Genomic DNA, 17,717 nt, shown 5'->3' with positions numbered 1-17,717 from the left:
TTTATTATTTCAAGGTTTCTGTCAGTCAGAAGTCTGGGCACACTTATAGCTGAGAGCACTGCACTTCTTATCTGAGGCTTGGGGTCCTTCGAGGTTTATTCAGGTTTTTGGCAGAATTGCAGTTGTAGCACTGAGGCCCCCATTTTCTTGCTAGCTATTGACTGGGCCACTCTCAGCTCCTAGATGCCACTGGAATTTCCTTGCCATGTGGCCTTCGTAGGCAGCTCCTGCATGGATATTTGCTCCTTCCAGGCCAGCAGGAGCATGTGTCTTTGACTTCATGAAGGGTGAAGTCCTTTTACCTTTAATAACCCACCTGATTAGGCCAGGTGCGGTGGCTCGTGCCTGTAATCCCAGTACTTTGGGGACGCCAAGGCAGGAGGCTCCCCTGAGATCAGGAGTTCAAGACCAGCCTGGCCAACATGGTGAAACCCCACCTTTACCAAGAAATAAAAAAATTAGCCGGGCATGGTAGTATGCTCCTGTAGTTTCAGCTGAGGTGGGAGAATCGCTCGAACCCAGGAGGTGGCGGTTGCAATCAACAGAGATCGCACCACTGCACTCCAGCCTGGATGACAGAATGAGACCCTGTCTCAAAAAAAGAAAACAAAAACAAAAACAAAATCTCACCTGATTAGGCCCAGCCCAGCTGGATCATCTCCCATTTTGTTAACTCAAAGATAACTGATTATAAACCTAATCGCCATAGTGATATTACAACATATTTATAGGTTCTACCTCTTTTCAAGAGGAGATTATACAAATTGTGCATACCAGGGGGTGAAGACCTAGGGAGCCATTTTAGAATTCTGCCTCCCACAGCACCTTTCCCACAACTGCCTCCAGCGTGGGACAGAAATGATGGCCCAAACAGGCTGACTCATTCCTCTCCCTGCACCCTTGAGAGGCCTTGTCTTTAGGGGATCCACTTTTCTCCTCACCATCTGACTGTTTTCTTGAGAGCCTGAATTTTGTTGTAAACCTCCATCATATGAAAAATATTAAGGCTTTAAAGCATTGAGACCTGTCTCTTGGGGGATTTCTCTTACTCGACTCTTCTTTAAAAGTCTGTATGTGTTTGTAACTGTAACACATGAAGATAATTACAAAAAGCCAAACTGTTGGAAAAAGGACACAGTGAGAACTCTCTGCCTGACTCCAGCCTTCTGTCCTCTGTCAGCCATGTTCTCCTCAGAATTAACCAACATTATCCATTCTATCTCCTTGGATAGTTCACATATTTATGTTTTTCCACAAATGCTAGCATTTTTGTTCTGCACTCTGTTTTCTTTAGTAGTGCATCCTTCACACATAGATTTAAAATGCTCATTTTATTTTTCAATTTTTTTTTTTTTTTGAGACAGAGTCTTACTCTGTTGCCCAGACTGGAGTGCAGTGGCATGATCTCTGCTCACTGCAACCTCCACCTCCCACGTTCAAGCGATTCTCATGTCTCAGCTTTCTGAGTAGCTGGGACTACAGGTGCATGCCACCACTTATGGCTAATTTTTGCATTTTTAGTAGAGACAGGGTTTCACCAGTTTGGCCAGGCTGGTCTCAAACTCCTGGCCTCAAGTGATCTGCCTGCCTGCCTTAGCCTCTCAAAGTGCTAGGATTGCAGGTGTGAGCCACTGGGCTCGGCTTTAAGTTGTTAATTTTAATTGTGGTCACTTGACTTCAAGAACAGGGAAGAGGAAGAGATTTGGGCTGCCGCCTGTCCCTCATTTAGGAACTAGTGGAAAACGATTTAGGTCAGCTATCTCAGGTGATTCTAAATGTTTTCACTTGTTAGCAGAGAGCATCCACCATGAGGCGGTGAGACACACTTGAGCTGAACTGCACATAATGTAAACGTCAGGGCCGGACAGGGGAGAGTTAGACAAGTGTGGGTCTCAGGTGCTTAGAACGCCTTGGACAGAAAGCGAGGTCATATAATTCATTTATCAGCAAGTAACACAAACATGCACCTCTTCTTTTTTTTTACATGGTGTGATTGTATTACCACAAATTAGCTGCTTTTATTTTTTATGTTAAATAACATACAGTAGGCGTTTAATGTACATCATCTTAATTATGGGCTAGCAAAAATATCTAAAACTCTTAAGATTCTTGCCACGGAAAAACTTTGTATTTCCAAACAACCAAGTAACTTAATTAGAAATTATATTGACCCATGTCATGGGGATGAGGGATGATGATAACAGGAAGTGATGGCATGCCATCAATTGAATAGGAGAGCCAAGATAAATTTTTACTTTTTTTTTAAACGTTAATACAATTTAGAAATTTCAAATTGTTCAAAGCTGGATCGAAATATAATGGATTATGGGCATTTTATGTTATTTTCAAATTAAATGATGGGTCATTGGTAATTAAAACAGTAAATCCCTCCTTTCTGTATCAATAACACATGCCTACTGTTTTCGTCTATTTTGAATACAATCCTAGCCCAACTTTTAGTATAGTCATTTCCCTGAAGGGTTTCTTGTAATTTTTTCCTGAAAGCATTTATGTTACTTCCTATAACCCCAACACCACTCAGGGCATTTGGTTGTAGCAAGTGAGGTTAACCAAGTTTAAAATCCTGTTGAATTCACAGGAGAGTTTAACTGCATCTGTCTAATTTAAAAGATGTTGGCAGCCCATGAGCAGTTCTATGTGCAAGAGAAAGTTTCACACTTTAAGGCTATGTCAGGATCAGATAATGAATTTATCAAAATGACACGATCACATTGAAACAAAAATATTTTTGTTTTTTGGTTTTTCTTTTCAAAAAGAAAAACCGCAATAAGAGGGCCTCAAAGGTGATTTCCAGCTGCTATGTTCTCATTAGCATATTTGTAACGGTGGCACACAGTGGAAGCCTTACATTTCCTCAGTCTGATGTAACTTTGGCCAAAGTACTTTCAGACTTTAGTAATTTGCTTGTTTTAAGAGAAATAATAGCCTGAGATGAGGATATTTGTATAAACCCCTTCCTGAAATGTCTAGTACCTTTCATTGCATAATTAAAATTCCTATTGTGTTTCTTTAACAGTAAAGACATTTTCGTTATCAAAGAATGATGTTCATGTTTTAAATAATAACTAAAATAATCTCTTCATTAAAAATAATCATTTTTAATGGTTTTATACAAACTGAAACAATAATAAAGCCCATATTACAAATTACTTTGCCTAATTTAGATATGAGTGACTTAAAATTGCTTCTTTTGCAAATGTCCCCTGGTGATTTTCAGAAAACTTAATAAATTGAAAGTACAGAAATAAATAGTCACTTTTTTGGGGGCTCTGGCCTTATTCAAGCTTTTAGAAATTTTCTGGGCCTTTTGTCAGTTTTCAAATTAGAGATTGGAAACTCCAATTCTGATAATACTGTTCTACTGTATGAGTTCACTGACATAATCAGATAGCACGTCTTATCTTCCACCTGCTCTCATGTTCATCAGCTGAGAGAAGGTACCCTGACTGTCACTTCTAGAGAAGAAATAATAAATGTTGATGATTAACAAAATTGCAGCCCTTACGGGAATCTGCCTCACTTGTAAATGTACCCTTCTTTCCCCACAGTCACTGTACTTGATTATACCTAGCTCTGACACAGTTCAAAACTTAACCGCACCCATAGCACCTCTTTATCAGGTGGACATCAGTGTCATTTTATTGCCAGTGAAACTGATCCACAAACAAGCAACTCTCCTGAACTCAAGGACAGAAGACAGACAAGGGGCTTCCACTCATTTCCATCATCAGAATTTGGTTTCCCATGCGAAGAAGTAGGCCGCTGTGATCTCAGCCAAGCCAAGTTTTGTCCTCCTTCCTCTATCTATCCTCAGTCTTCTTTCTCCTTCTATGGCAAGGGTCCCCAACCTCTGGGCCATGGACTGGCAGTGGTCCATGGACTGTTAGGAACCCAGCGGCAAAGCAGGAGGTGTGCTCAGGGCCAGCAAGCGAAGCTTCATCTGTATTTACAGCTGCTAACCGTCACCTGTGTTACTGCCTGAGCTCTGTTTCCTGTCAGATCACTGGGGCATTAGATTCTTATAGGAGCAGGAACCCTGCACATGGGAGGGATCTAGGTTGCCCGCTTCTTATGAGAATCTAATGCCTGATGATCTGTCACTGTCTCCCATCACCCCCAAATGTGTCCGTCTAGTTGCATGAAAACAAGCTCAGGACTTCCACTGATTCGACATTATGGTGAGTTGTATAATTATCTCATTATATATTACAATGCAATAATAATAGAAATAAAGTGCACAATAAATGAAATGGGCTTGAATCATCCTGAAACCATCTCCCGTGGCCCCAACCCCAGTCTGTGGAAAAAGTCTTCCATGACACTGGTTCCCAACAGGGATTGCTGGTCTCTACAGTGTCTATCCTCTCTCTCTCTTTTTCTTTAAACAGAGTCTCACTCTGTTGCCCAGACTGGCGTGCAATGGCGCCATCCCGGCCTCACTGCAACCTCTGCCTCCCGGATTCAAGTGATTCTCCTGCCTCAGCCTCCCGAGTAGTTGGGATTACAGGCACCCACCACCAAGCCCAACTAACTTTTGTATTTTTAGTAGAGATGGAATTTCGTCATGTTGGCCAGGCTGGTCTCAAACTCCTGGCCTCGTGATCCGCCCACCTCGGCCTCCCAAAGTGCTGGGATTACAGGTTTGAGCCACGGCACCCGGGTCTATCCTCTCTTGACACCTACTCTCCTTAGGTTCTTCACACTTAGGTGATTCCAAATCTTTTCACTGAGGCAGAAAGGTAGCATTACCTTCTTCTAAGCTATAAAGGACTCCTGAGAGGTGTTTCCCATTTCATCATGTACCAGCTTTTACTTGTGGACTCTGGATGTCCATTACGATGCAAGCGGCAGGAGAGAAAGCGACTGGACTGCTCTGCTGGGTGTAAGGCGAGGGCAACCTGGAGCAAGTTCAAATCCCGCCTCTGCGGGAGGCAGAGGTTGCAGTGAGCCGAGATGGCGCCACTGCACTCCAGCATGGGCGACACGGTGAGACTCGTCTCAAAAAAAGAAAAAAAGAAAAAAAAAATTCCACTTCTGCTCGCCACACTCCACCATTCTCTGAGCCTCGGTTTACTCATGTGTAAGGGGGACTGCGATGATTAGAGGAGCTCGTGCATGCCACGCACTGGCTTGCTTGGTATCCTTGGAGTCACCGAAAGATTAGTTCAGCTCCCCGCCTGCCCACGCCCTGGGGCAACACTCATTTTGGGGAAAAGTCCTCCTTAATGCTGAAGTGATCCAGTTCCCTTCTTTTCTCTAGCTCGCCAATCGGGCTGGAGGAGAGGCCACTCGTTTGGGAAGGCGCGGTCCGGGTCGGTGTACCGCGCACCAAACCCTGCCAGAGAACTGAGAGAGGCGGCCAGGGGGCTGGGTACCTGGTGAGAAAGGCGCCAGCTGCCGGGTCACCTCGAGAGGAAGGAAGGGGCGGGAGCGCGAGTGGAGCGGGCGGAGCCTGAAAACCTCCGCGCCACCGCTGCGCTCTTTACAAAGGCCCCGGGCGCGAGAGGACGTGCTCTGCCAGCCAGTGGGAAGGCAGGCCGCGCGCGCGGGAGCGCGGGAGGATCGGCGGCTCGCGGTCACTGGTCCCTGGCTCGGTTCCCCGCACCCCGGGGCTCACACTTACCCGCGCGGAGGAGCAGCGGCCGGGTGTCCACCCCCATCCTGCGCCCAGTCTCCTCGATTCCCCTCGCTCTGAGCCGGGAGAGCCGAACAGCTGAAGAGAGTTCACTGACTCCCCAGCCCCAGGTACTTGCGGGGCGGCGGGCTGGGGGTGAGGTGGGGACTGGCCCTTTTCTGTTTATCCCGCAAAGACAGCAGCTTTGTCCAGGAGATTTTGGGGGTGTCGGATCGGAAGTCATCCCCCGCTGCTCCTGCTCACCTGGCACACGCTCACCATATGCTAAGGAAAGCCTGCAAAAATTATAGACAGCACCTCCCTGTTTTATAAAATATGAGAATATTTACATAAATGAGGAAACATTGGAGATGGGGGTGTGTTTTCTCTGTACTTTGGTATTCTTTTCAACGTTTTTCTAATCAGAAAACAAAAACGAATGCCATTTATGCAGTGTGGCTCCAGAGCAGTTGTGCGTGACCCCCCTCCCCCGCTTGCCAACTGCTACGGCCCCACGCTCTCGGTGGCCAAGCGAGACCTTTCTGAGGGGCCCTGGGCTCCCTGGAGTGCCGAGGTCCTTGGTCCTAGACCTGACTCCTTGCTTCAGTCTGGTTCATGAGAGAAATATAGTAATCCGTTGTTTTCTGGGACTTTCCCCAGATTTCAGATTGAAAGGTGGAATTTCCCAAATCCTCTGAAGCCAAAATCCACACTGAGCCTCACTGCGGATTTCCGCAGCCACCAGGAAGTGGGACTGGACCCCAGGTCAGGCCAGTCAAGTAGAGTGGGAGAAAGAAAATCTCATGTCTGAAAGACACCGAGCTTTCCTAAGGGTTTCCTCCTGCTGTTTGGTTTTCACTTTTTTTTTTTTTTTTTGATTCTTTGTTTTTGCAAGACCTGTGGTTTTAGTATTAATTCTGCCAAACAGCTGTGCCAGAGTTCACAAATATCTTCAGAGCCACACTTCAGGGTGATCCTGTTGAGCAGGGTTAGACAGGAGGATAACTTGGTCCTTTGCTCTGCTTCCAAGTTTCTGTTCCCCTCCTGTGTGCTCAGTGTTCGGTATTCGTTAGGGAGAAAAGCCTTGAAACTTCCTACTTGCAACCACCCAAAGACATACTCTTTCTTGAGAATATATTCAGGGGGAACTGGGGAGGCGAGGGGGTTGGGGGGAAATGAAAGTAAACATTTTCACCATCCAGAGCAGACCCCATTAGTTTGGTCAATCCTGTTTTAAAAAATAGACTTCTTAAAGCATGAGAAATCTGGTTGGCATGCATGACCACCCAGGGGTGCCAAGCTTTCTGTTAAACTGCTTAGACATCTGGGTCCTTGTAGCGAAAATATTTCTGTATATGTTTTTGTTTATGGCATTTTAAGGCCGAACACCCTTTGGCAAGGAGAGGTGGTATGTCTCTTCACGGGCTTTGCAGGACCTTAGTGAGTGTGTGTGTACGTGTGTGTGTGTGTGTGTGTGTGTTGTGTTGCAGGGAGGGTAGCAGAGGTGGAGGTGCTGTTTTTGCACATAGCACCTCTACACGTATCCATTCTTCTTTCCCCAGAGAGGAGTCAGAAGCCTTGCCCTCGATCTAACTCTTCTCTTCCCAACTCTAAGCCTCCCAGGTTAAGTGTATACATCCTGATGTCCAGCACAGAAGAGCTGGACACTCAAGATGCAGCATCTATGCCTTCTGTATTCAGCTTTCAGAGACAGAGTTCCCAACTGCAGTGCTTATTTTTATTTCTATATTTATTGTATTTCCTTTGTTAACACAGATATTATTGTTTGTCAGATATTAATCAGTGTTTTACAACTTTTCCATGTCAGATATCACAGTTTACCCCTTTAATAATACTTTGCTAATCTCCAACCACTGTCAATTCCATAAAAATCAGAGGTTGGTGATTTTGTAAGGAAAATATTTGTTAAGTGTTTGAATAGATATTGAAGTGCACATGGTATAAAATTCCAAAGGTGTAGAGTGTGTGTGCAGTGGAGAGTAAGTCTCCTTCCTATCCTGGGCCCCCAGTTTCTGTCTCCAGAGGTAACCATTGTTATCACTATATAAAATCATTGTTGCCCTGTTTCTTTGATAACTTACGACTAACAGATTTCAAAATGCTGTTTTGAGCAAATGTGCACCAATGATTTTTTAAAATCTAACAATTTTAACTATATTATTTTAATTGTCAGCTTCTGTCTTTCCTGTTTTTCTGCTGACCACTCTGAAATGTCAGAGTGTTCAGGTCACTTTGTAGAGGGACTCTGTGGCTTTGAGGATAAACAAATAGATTCATTTCTAAGTTCCTTGAGGTCAGAGATCAACATGGTCTCCAAACAACCTGCCACAATTACCGATGAGTACTAGGTCCATGCTAACATTTATACACCCAGGCTTACTGATACCCAGGTTACTGATATTCACCGTAACCTGGTGCTTCAGAGCCTGTTCCTCCTATGAGGTAGCACTAATGGTGTATTTCCCTCCCCAGTATTAGATTCTTGTTTGGTGCCTTGCTGGTTGTAGCCCACACACATTTATGTCCCCCTTCTCTACAGGTTAACTGCTAAAGTTTGTGAAGTAGCTGGTAACCAGGGAGGCAGTGTTTGTAATGGTTAAGAGAGGATGCATTGGAGTTTGAGTCCTGTCTCTGACATTGGATTTATGATCTGGGCTGGTTTTTAAACCCTCTGAGATTCAGCTCCCTTATCAGTGAAGCAGTGATTCACAGGGTTATTTTGAAGATTAGATGACCTGTTGTCACCAAAAAGTAGGTTAGTTGCCCGCTGCATGCAGAGTCCAATTAACAAGAGTGAGGTCTGGTACAAAAAAAAAGTGAATTCCTAAGCTAGCTTGGAGAAGGGGGCACAAAACGTCCTGCCTTTATCCACACCCAGAATGTGCTGCTTCACTTTTGGAGCAGAAAGTGGGCCTCTTTTATAAAGTAGGGTGGGAAGTGAGCCAGAGCAGGGGGTCCCCCGCTTCCCTGGTGCTTTATCTACCAGACAGTTGAGTTGACACCTTCCTGGGCAGAAATATAAGTTATATAAGTGGCCAAGTGGGCATACTCTCACCATGCCCTCCTAGTAGGTGTGAGTTCAGAGGCCACCCCCTGGAGGTGAGAGTTCTGTGGGGACATGCTTTGGTCTGCAAATCGACTGTCAACTCTCCAGGAGAGATCAAAGTTAAGGTTGTCTTGGAGCACATAGTTAGATATACTTGCCCTGTAGGGAATTTCTGGTCAGGAAAGGTGAATGGTTACATTTGCATTTCTGAAGGTCTAAGTAGGAAGTGGGGCACAGGGAAAAGAGAAAATAATTAAAAAAATTAAACTATGACTTAGAAAAGTGGAGGTACTTGGTTACAGTGTATCAGGGTATCAGCAGTCTGCCTGGCACATGAAAGGCATGAAATAAGTAATAGCCCTTATTCCTGTCTGTATTAGTTTGTTCTCACACTGCTAATAAAGACATACCTGAGACCGGGTAATTTATACAGGAAAGAGATTTAATGGACTCACAGTTCCACATGGCTGGGGAAGCCTCACAATCATGGCAGAAGGCAAGGAGGAGCAAGTCACATCTTACATGGATGGCAGCAGGCAAAGAGAGAGCCTGTGCATGGAAACTCCCCCTTATAAAACCATCAGATCTTGTGATACTTATTCACTATCACAAGAACAGCATGGGAAAGACCTATCCCCATGATTCAATTACCTCCTATCAGGTCCCTTCCACAACATGTGGGACTCGTGGGAGCTATAATTCAAGATGAGATTGGGGTGGGGACACAGCCAAACCATATCACTGTCAGAGTTTGCTGTGGTTTTATACCTTCATAAGATAGGTGAATGCATCCATCAGCTCAGGCTCTGATATAGTGCAGTAACAAATGACCTAAAAAATCTCAGTGGCTTATTGGAAGAAGGGTTGGTTTTTTTGCTAATATTAACTGTCCTTTATGTATCTGTCTTCGGCTCTTCCCTCTGGGACCCAGACTGAGCTGCTCCTTGTGGGAACTGCTGATGTTTTGACAAAAGAAAGAGGGAAGGTGGAACTACACAGTGGCTTTTAAGTTTCTGCTTGGAAGTAAGTCACTGCCATTCATGTTTCATTGACATGGTTGTTAATGAAGTGGATCATCATTTTAAAGGGGCAGAACTGGTAGGGACAGGCCTGCAAGGATGGGGTAGCAAATATTTGACACTAAAGCAGTCTGCCTCAGTGTTTGTTGGATGGAGTCACAATTGTGAACCCAGAGATTCATCAAACCCAGACAATTGATCTGCCCCAAGACACTCATAGCCACTGATGTATAAACCAGAATGCCATTTTTTCTCTCTAACAGTGGATAATATATCTGTCCTGGGGACTGAGTATAAGAACCTATATGGGGTAAGCTTTTCTTGTGGTTGATTTGCTCAGAAGACTGAATTATAAAGTAATAGCTTATATAAAGCATACAAAAACAAAATTTGGATGTTACCAAAAGACTATTTAGATCCAGAATACACCATGGTTTTTAATACAGTTCTCCTTTTGGAATTCTTATCGCCTGAAGTCCAAGAATGAACTAAATTGATGGCAGCATATTGTAAATAAAGCTGGAGATCACTTACAGATTTCTGACACTTCTTTTCAGGCTCTTGTTAATAGCAAATGCTTTTCTTGTCGACTGCTAATGCATCATCCCATGACTTATAATTATTCTTTTATGCTGTCTGCTTCCTGAATAATGAGACTTTATTATCATAATTATAGTGTCTTCAAATCACAGTGTAATATGGATTAACCAGTTTTACCCATTGTGTGTTAATTCTTGCTGACTTTGGCTTCATAGTAAGTTTTACCACCCCTAGCACAGGATTTTGAGGATTTTTCTCAGTTTTTCTGCTTATAGCTGGACATCTGTGGCCTGCTTGGGTAGAGCAATATGATGCAATAATGTTCAAAAATATATTATGAAAATAAAATTGAAGATGCATTTTCAAATCAATAGAAAAGAAATATTGCTTAGCTATGTCATTTGTTGGATAATTGAATAAATTGAGAGTTTGATTCCCAGCAGCAAAACTTTGTAAAACAGAAGGAAAGATTATATTTTAAAAGTAAATAGCAGGGCTGGGAACGGTGGCTCATGCCTGTAATCCTAGCACTTTGAGAGACCGAGGGTGGGTGGATTGCCTAAGCTCAGGAGTTTGAGAGCAGCCTGGGCATCATGGTAAAACCCTGTCTCTACTAAAATATGAAAAATTAGCTGGGAGTGGTGGCGCACACTTGTAGTCCCACCTACTCGGGAGGCTGAGACAGGAGAATTGCTTGAACCTGGGAGGCAGAGGTTGCAGTGAGCCAAGATCACGCCACTGCACACTGCACTCCAGTGACAGCAAGACGCTGTCTCCAAAAAAAAAAAAAAAAAAAAAAAAGGAAATGCCAGCAAGATAGAAAGGGAAAGAAAATATTCTTTCTGGTTTTTGTTTTTTATATTTCAAACCAGCATAATTTTGATGCCAACATCTAATATAGATGGCAAACAAAAAACAATAAAACTACAAATCAATCTCACTTAAGACTGATTATCTCCAAACCCCAAATCAGTATAAGCAGACAGTGTCCGGTAGCTGCAGCAAGGGAGAGTCATCCAAGGAATGCAGGCGGCACTCAGCATCTCTCTGGGTACTGGTGTAACTTCTCGCCGTGCTACAGTTACAGAATTCTGTGCAGCTGTTAAAGAATGAGGTATATTTGTAAGTGTAGATATGGGAAAATTATCACCCATATGTATTATTAATTGAAAAATTGGTCAGGCATAGTGGCTCACGCCTGTAATCCCAGCACTTTTGGGAGGGCGAGGCGGGTGAATCACCTGAGCTCAGGAGTTTTGAGAGCAGCTTGGCTAACATGGCAAAACTCCGTCTCTACTAAAAATACAAAAATTAGCCGGGTGTGGTGGTGCGTTTCTGTAATCCCGGCTACTCAGGAGGTTGAGGCAGGAGAATTGCTTGAACCCGGGAGGTGGAGTTTGCAGTGAGCTGAGATTGCGCCATTGCACTCCAGCCTGGGCGACAGAGACCTGTCTCAAAAAAAAAAAAAGAGGAACAAAGAAAGGTTCAGAACTAAATATAGCATGTTTCTATTTGTGTAAGAAATTTTTTTCTCTGTGGAGAAATGTGCTCGTATGTGTGTTTGTGTGTGTGAGAGTGCACACATATAGTTATGCTGGTTATGTAAACAAAATTTCTCTAAGGATAAAAGTAGCTTTTACAGTGGTTGTACTCTAGGAGAGAAAGACAAAGAGTTCAGGTGGGGGAGAAATACTCTTTTTTTTAAATCCTTTGTTAGTGTTTGAATTTTAAAATCATGTACATGTACTTTTAAAAAATTAGTTTTAAAATGGCAATTCTCTGTTGAAGTAACTTCACAAAAATTTTAGTAGCTATTTCTCCTGTCCTGTTATACTGCTTTTAAGTACTGTACTAATTACCAAAGATATATGAAGTGAAGTGTAGGTGGAGGGCACCTCGGGCCATCGGCTCTCAAGGGATGTGGTTAACAACAGTTGGACTGTGCTATTTGTAGTTAATGACAGTTTGTCCATCCAGTCATTGAGTACCACTGACAAAAATAAATAATTCTGATACCAGTGCAGGCTGTGATAATTAGAACCAACTCATGGAGACTTATATTCTTAAAAGTAATGTCTAAAATTTGAAATTATAGAATAAAATAACCATTTAAAGCATTTACTATTTTTAATCATTTACCTGTTAGAAATCAAAGTGAGGATATAAAGGATAAATGTTACAATTGTTTGTTTATAACTATTAAGTTTTTTTCTTTAACCAGGTTTCACAATTCATAATATATTTAATTATAATCCAGTTAATAAACTATGTTTGCTTTATGTATATATCCTCTGAAGGTATTCAAACCAAAGAGATTTTTTATTTCCTAATTTTCTTTTTAAAGTACACCTGTCATATTTTCTCTGGGCTCAAGTCACTCTATTTAGGTGAAAGAGGAACTGAGGTTTCTTTATGCTTCCCTCAAATCATTTTATTATCAAAAATCATTCTTTGTTATTGTCTGCATTTTATGTATGGTGTTATAGTCAAACTAGAAATGAAAAAGATAGGAGAAGCTAGTGTAGCAATTTTATAGGGCTTGGTATAAGATTTCACATATCTACTAGTTCACTGAAAGTATTGTCTATGTACTGTTTTCTTAAAGTCCAGATAAATTGCCTATCAGATGATGTTCATCAAAACGTTAGAATCAAAGTTCTCAATGCCTCAAGCATAAGCAGAAACTAACATGGTAATTTAATTATTGCAGGTGGGCCTTGTGCACATCATGACCAGTTTTGAAGATGCTGACACAGAAGAGACAGTAACTTGTCTCCAGATGACGGTTTACCATCCTGGCCAGTTGCAGTGTGGAATATTTCAGTCAATAAGTTTTAACAGAGAGAAACTCCCTTCCAGCGAAGTGGTGAAATTTGGCCGAAATTCCAACATCTGTCATTATACTTTTCAGGACAAACAGGTTTCCCGAGTTCAGTTTTCTCTGCAGCTGTTTAAAAAATTCAACAGCTCAGTTCTCTCCTTTGAAATAAAAAATATGAGTAAAAAGACCAATCTGATCGTGGACAGCAGAGAGCTGGGCTACCTAAATAAAATGGACCTGCCATACAGGTGCATGGTCAGATTCGGAGAGTATCAGTTTCTGATGGAGAAGGAAGATGGCGAGTCATTGGAATTTTTTGAGACTCAATTTATTTTATCTCCAAGATCACTCTTGCAAGAAAACAACTGGCCACCACACAGGCCCATACCGGAGTATGGCACTTATTCGCTCTGCTCCTCCCAAAGCAGTTCTCCGACAGAAATGGATGAAAATGAGTCATGAACACAGAAAGTCTAAGAGGAGAAATATGATGGATGAAGAGCTCTGTAGATGCTGTATAGACACTAAATAAGAGTTGATTAGGGTAGTATATTATAGTCATCTGTTATGCTGTGAAATTTGGAATTCAGTATTATCATTTTGAAGTCTGTAAATTGTGTTAGTCATTAACTTAGTCACCTGTTGTATTCTGGATCTACACAAAATTATTTTAACTGCTCTTATTAATCTGTGAGGATTAATATACAAAAAGTATCCTTTGAGATGAAGTCGTGTTCTCAAAATAAGGTTATATTATTTTCTTTTTCTGCTTGATTTTCATCTTGTGTTTTGCTTTGTTTTTGTAAGGAACCATCTCTTGGTTTGGTCACATCAGTTCACAACAGCCATTTGTTTTCAAGGTCAAGGCTCCAGGCAGGTTGTTACTGGTGTTTGCAGCCTGTCAGTACTTGCAGTACTGGAATAGGTTCTAGGCTAGTGTCTGCGCGTCACTGTGGTTTTAGCATGGGAGGACTTATTTGAGAAATACTACCTTACTTTTCTATGATTTCTTTTTACAGAGTTATAGTGTGTTTACTCCTAAGATGACAGTTCTCTTTGTCTATATTCAGCATCTAAGACAAATATTTAAACATTTTAAAGAACCACTGTGTTAAGTTTAGGATTATTTACTTACCAAATTAGAAGTTTGACTTTTATGTGTTATACACAATCTTAAAATTTCACGAATTCACCTTTTTAATAGTATCCATGTACATAATAAAATCAAAGTTTAATTAGCCATTTTCTTTGAATTTTTTTCTAAATAAGGGAAATAACTGTTCTTGGGCCACTTTACAGAGATAAATGTATGTGAATGTTTATGATAAACGCTTAAATATTTCTAAAATATTAACTTCAAAAAAGTCTTTTTCAGTTCTTAAATAAAAATTTATTTATTTAAGATACTTATTCGACTTATCTTAACTAAGGTAGCTATGAATGTTAAGTAGATGAGGTAACCATTCAGTTAAGTTAAATTGTAGCATTGCCAGGTAGTGAGGCTCACTGTACAATTTTCCAGGTAAATGAAATTTCCTGTAGTAAGAGGTCCGTATTTTTGTAACAGCCTTTTAAAAATGCTTTTGGGAACCCTCCAGCCTCTTACCAAAAGAGGCTTTAAACCTCATCTTGATTCAGACTGTCAGTCTATTCCTGGGCAGTAGTATGTGATGTCCAGCACCCTAACCCCGACTCCCCAGCCCTGGGACTATTCCAGTAGAGTGAAATATTTGTCCCTGTACAAAGTGGCCTGAATGACTGTTGGAGTTCCTGTGTCTGGTTTTCCTGTTTATTCCCTGTGATGCCCAGAGTAATGGCCCATCCAAAGATGTCCAGATGTCCATGTGCTAGTCTCCAGAACTTGTAACTGTGTTGTTATGTGGCAAAGGGGAATGAAGGCTGCAGATGGAAGTAAAATAGATTATGCTGGATTATCTGGGTGTGCCCAATTGATCACCGGATCCGTAAAAGTGGAAGAGAGGCAGATCAGGATGTCAGCGTGATGAGGTGTGAGACAGACTTGACTTGCTGTTGCTGGGAGGAAGGGGAGGTCATGAGCCAAGGAATGTGGACAGTCTCTTGAAGCTGGAAAGTGTGCATTGGACATCTGGAAGCCAGAAAAGACAAAGAAATATCCAGAAAGGAACAAAGTCTTGTGGACACCTTGATTTTGGTCCAGTGAGAATATGTTTGACTTGTTAACCTACAAAACTTTATGATGATAAATTTGTGTTGGTCGTAAGCCACTAAATCACAGTAATTTGTTATAGCAGCAGATAGAAAACTAATATACTCCCTTTAATATAAGGTTATCTACTATTGATTCTTTCTAGGATTTTAGCTTCTGGTCTGATGTGGGTTTACAGCCAGATCACCCGGCTTGAATTGCTTACAGTGTGTAGTCTCATGGTAAAGGCGTTCTATGAGTGAAGTGTATATACTTTAATGTGTGTATACTGTCACATTTTGACTATTTTGGAAGACTTTCACCTCTGTTTCTTGTCTTTGAGGCTGATGAATGTGTTTCTAAGTTATAAATTTAATATTAAGGGATTCATGTATTATTGTTATTGAATCCAAACAATGTGTTAAGTAATATTTAGGGCCAGAAAAATCTTGTACAGAATAATGATTTCTCCTAATGTAAATCTTGGAAAGGGTTTTGTTCAACTTGAGAAATATTAAATTTTTTATTCTATTTTCTTTTCTTCAAAGATTGGCAAAGGAGAGAGTGGGTTGCTAAAAGTTTATATTGTTCTCCAAAGAATAGAAACACTTTCCATAGCCCAACTCCGGTAGTAAATAATAATGAACGCTTTAATAATGAAAGAGCAATTGGTTAGTATTAGAATTGTTTTGATTACAAAGTTAGCATCTCTGCCTGAGCTACCCAACCCCAAAGCGGGGTTGTTAGAGGAAAGCTACCATATTTCATAGAACCGAGGAAGGAATGCAGCAGACCTCAGGTGAGATTCGAATGCTCTGGCTCTGACCCTCAATGCATATTGGCTCCATGGCCACCTGTAGCTCCCAAGTTTTACACGTTATTGATCCCCCAAAGAGACCTGATCTCTTGATTTCAGTTCCAGGGACGGGTCAGCTTGGGTCAGGTGCCCACCCCTTCACCAATCAACTTGTCTCAGGTAACGCAGTCACATTATATAATGGCTGCTCTGGTCAGTGATCATGTGGATAGATACAGCATTTTCTCAAAAAAATGGTCACAGGGGTGGGGGTGGGGCAAACAAAAATATTGGTGTTTGATACAAGGTACTGAAGCTAAGATGTGAAACCTTCCATATACACTTTAAGGACTTCTTTGTCCCTGGAAAGTGATTTTTCTGGGGCTCCTTAGGTAGAGAGGTGTATTAATGGTGCCAGTGTTAGAATCCTTGGCAGTCTCTTCTTGAACCTGCAACTCCAGTGGTTAAATCTCATAGGCCATATAACCATTTTCTAGAGAATTCTGTTCCTACTATCTAATGCAGTAACTGACTTAAAAGTAAGTATTACTGTTAGACTCTAACATAAGTGGTGGTATTTGTTTTAATGGAGGTGGGATCAGGTATGTGTTCACTTAAGCTTTACATTAAAAAAAAATTTATATGTGTAAATAAATATATATGCCTTGTAGAAAAATTAGCCATAATCTTACTACCAGAAGAGAACTACTGTTAACTTTGTGTGTGTGTATATGTGGTGGATGGTTTTATGTTACCTCCTGGCTCTTTTTATGTTTCCAATTCTCTAACACTTGTTTAATTAATTACTTATATTATTAAGATAACAGGCTTTGTTATTATTTTACTAAGTGGACCATGATTGAAACTATCAGTCTCCATTTCAGGTGGTGACCAAGATGAGCCCTACGACAAGTGGGTGGAATTTAATAGGTTTCTAGTTGGTATGGGTTGTCCTCAGATCCAACCTATTCAACCTACATGAAAATACTTATTTGTCCTTTACCTCTTAAGCAATGAACTTAGGGCTGGGAGCACTGGTGAAGAAACTGGGATGGCATTAGGTTCAGCTCTGTTGCTGGTTTCATAATTTTGTTGCTGATGGAAGGCTACCAAGGGACTAGAGATGAACCAGTTTGGCCCTGCTTAGTGGCAACAGTAAAATAACTGCTTGAAGGCCCAAATCAAGACAGTGACTTTTTTTTTTTTTTTTAGACTACTCAAGTGCAGTAGTCAGAAGGGGGGAAAAGAGTAGAACAAGAAATTCAATCTGTAACTGACTATGAACAATCAACTGAGCTAATTCAACAGTGACATTTTAAAACAGAAAACTTCTGAGATTAGACAGTCACAATAAGGTGTGACAATGAAATTTCCCCTTAGTTCACAGTACCTTTTTATAATAATATCACTTTCGGCATCTTGAAAGTTTTTTAATCCTTCAAAGTTAGGTTAGACACATTCTTTTTTTTTTTGAGTCAGAGTTTCGCTCTTGTTGCCCAGGCTAGAGTGCAATGGCGCGATCTCGGCTCACTACAACCTCTGCCTCCCGGGTTCAAGCAATTCTCCTGCCTCAGCCTCCAGAGTAGCTAGGATTACAGGCATGCTCCACCACGCCTGGCTAATTTTGTATTTTTAGTAGAGATGGGATTTCTCCGTGTTGGTCAGGCTGCTC

At 41.5% G+C, this 17,717-nt stretch overlaps 1 protein-coding gene across 1 annotated transcript, besides 5 other annotated features; it reads left to right on the top strand.

Moving 5' to 3' along the window:
• Positions 3,771 to 3,890: an enhancer, noted in NCBI's record as "active region_21826". NCBI's record gives its function as "activates an Ori minimal core promoter by ATAC-STARR-seq in GM12878 lymphoblastoid cells {active_cell/tissue: GM12878}" and the evidence as "EXISTENCE:reporter gene assay evidence [ECO:0000049][PMID:35858748]".
• Positions 5,450 to 5,759: a silencer, noted in NCBI's record as "silent region_15637". NCBI's record gives its function as "represses an Ori minimal core promoter by ATAC-STARR-seq in GM12878 lymphoblastoid cells {active_cell/tissue: GM12878}" and the evidence as "EXISTENCE:reporter gene assay evidence [ECO:0000049][PMID:35858748]".
• Positions 5,502 to 16,869, top strand: TIFA (TRAF interacting protein with forkhead associated domain). The gene is made up of 2 exons (NM_052864.3): positions 5,502 to 5,766; positions 12,972 to 16,869. The coding sequence occupies exon 2, from the start codon at positions 12,990 to 12,992 to the stop codon at positions 13,542 to 13,544; it is 555 nt and encodes a 184-aa protein (NP_443096.1). The 5' UTR covers positions 5,502 to 5,766; positions 12,972 to 12,989; the 3' UTR covers positions 13,545 to 16,869.
• Positions 6,400 to 6,519: an enhancer, noted in NCBI's record as "active region_21825". NCBI's record gives its function as "activates an Ori minimal core promoter by ATAC-STARR-seq in GM12878 lymphoblastoid cells {active_cell/tissue: GM12878}" and the evidence as "EXISTENCE:reporter gene assay evidence [ECO:0000049][PMID:35858748]".
• Positions 6,550 to 6,729: an enhancer, noted in NCBI's record as "active region_21824". NCBI's record gives its function as "activates an Ori minimal core promoter by ATAC-STARR-seq in GM12878 lymphoblastoid cells {active_cell/tissue: GM12878}" and the evidence as "EXISTENCE:reporter gene assay evidence [ECO:0000049][PMID:35858748]".
• Positions 11,648 to 11,877: an enhancer, noted in NCBI's record as "active region_21823". NCBI's record gives its function as "activates an Ori minimal core promoter by ATAC-STARR-seq in GM12878 lymphoblastoid cells {active_cell/tissue: GM12878}" and the evidence as "EXISTENCE:reporter gene assay evidence [ECO:0000049][PMID:35858748]".
• Positions 16,870 to 17,717: the final 848 nt, after the last annotated feature.

This window comes from Homo sapiens, chromosome 4 (assembly GCF_000001405.40).
Source record: "Homo sapiens chromosome 4, GRCh38.p14 Primary Assembly".
In the NCBI taxonomy this organism is placed as follows: domain Eukaryota; kingdom Metazoa; phylum Chordata; class Mammalia; order Primates; family Hominidae; genus Homo; species Homo sapiens.
This window is presented reverse-complemented; position numbering and strand designations above follow the sequence as displayed.

Bases quoted from the DNA above. Each gene is read 5' to 3' on its own strand.
- TIFA (NM_052864.3), top strand. From the start codon at position 12,990: ATGACCAGTTTTGAAGATGCTGACACAGAAGAGACAGTAACTTGTCTC.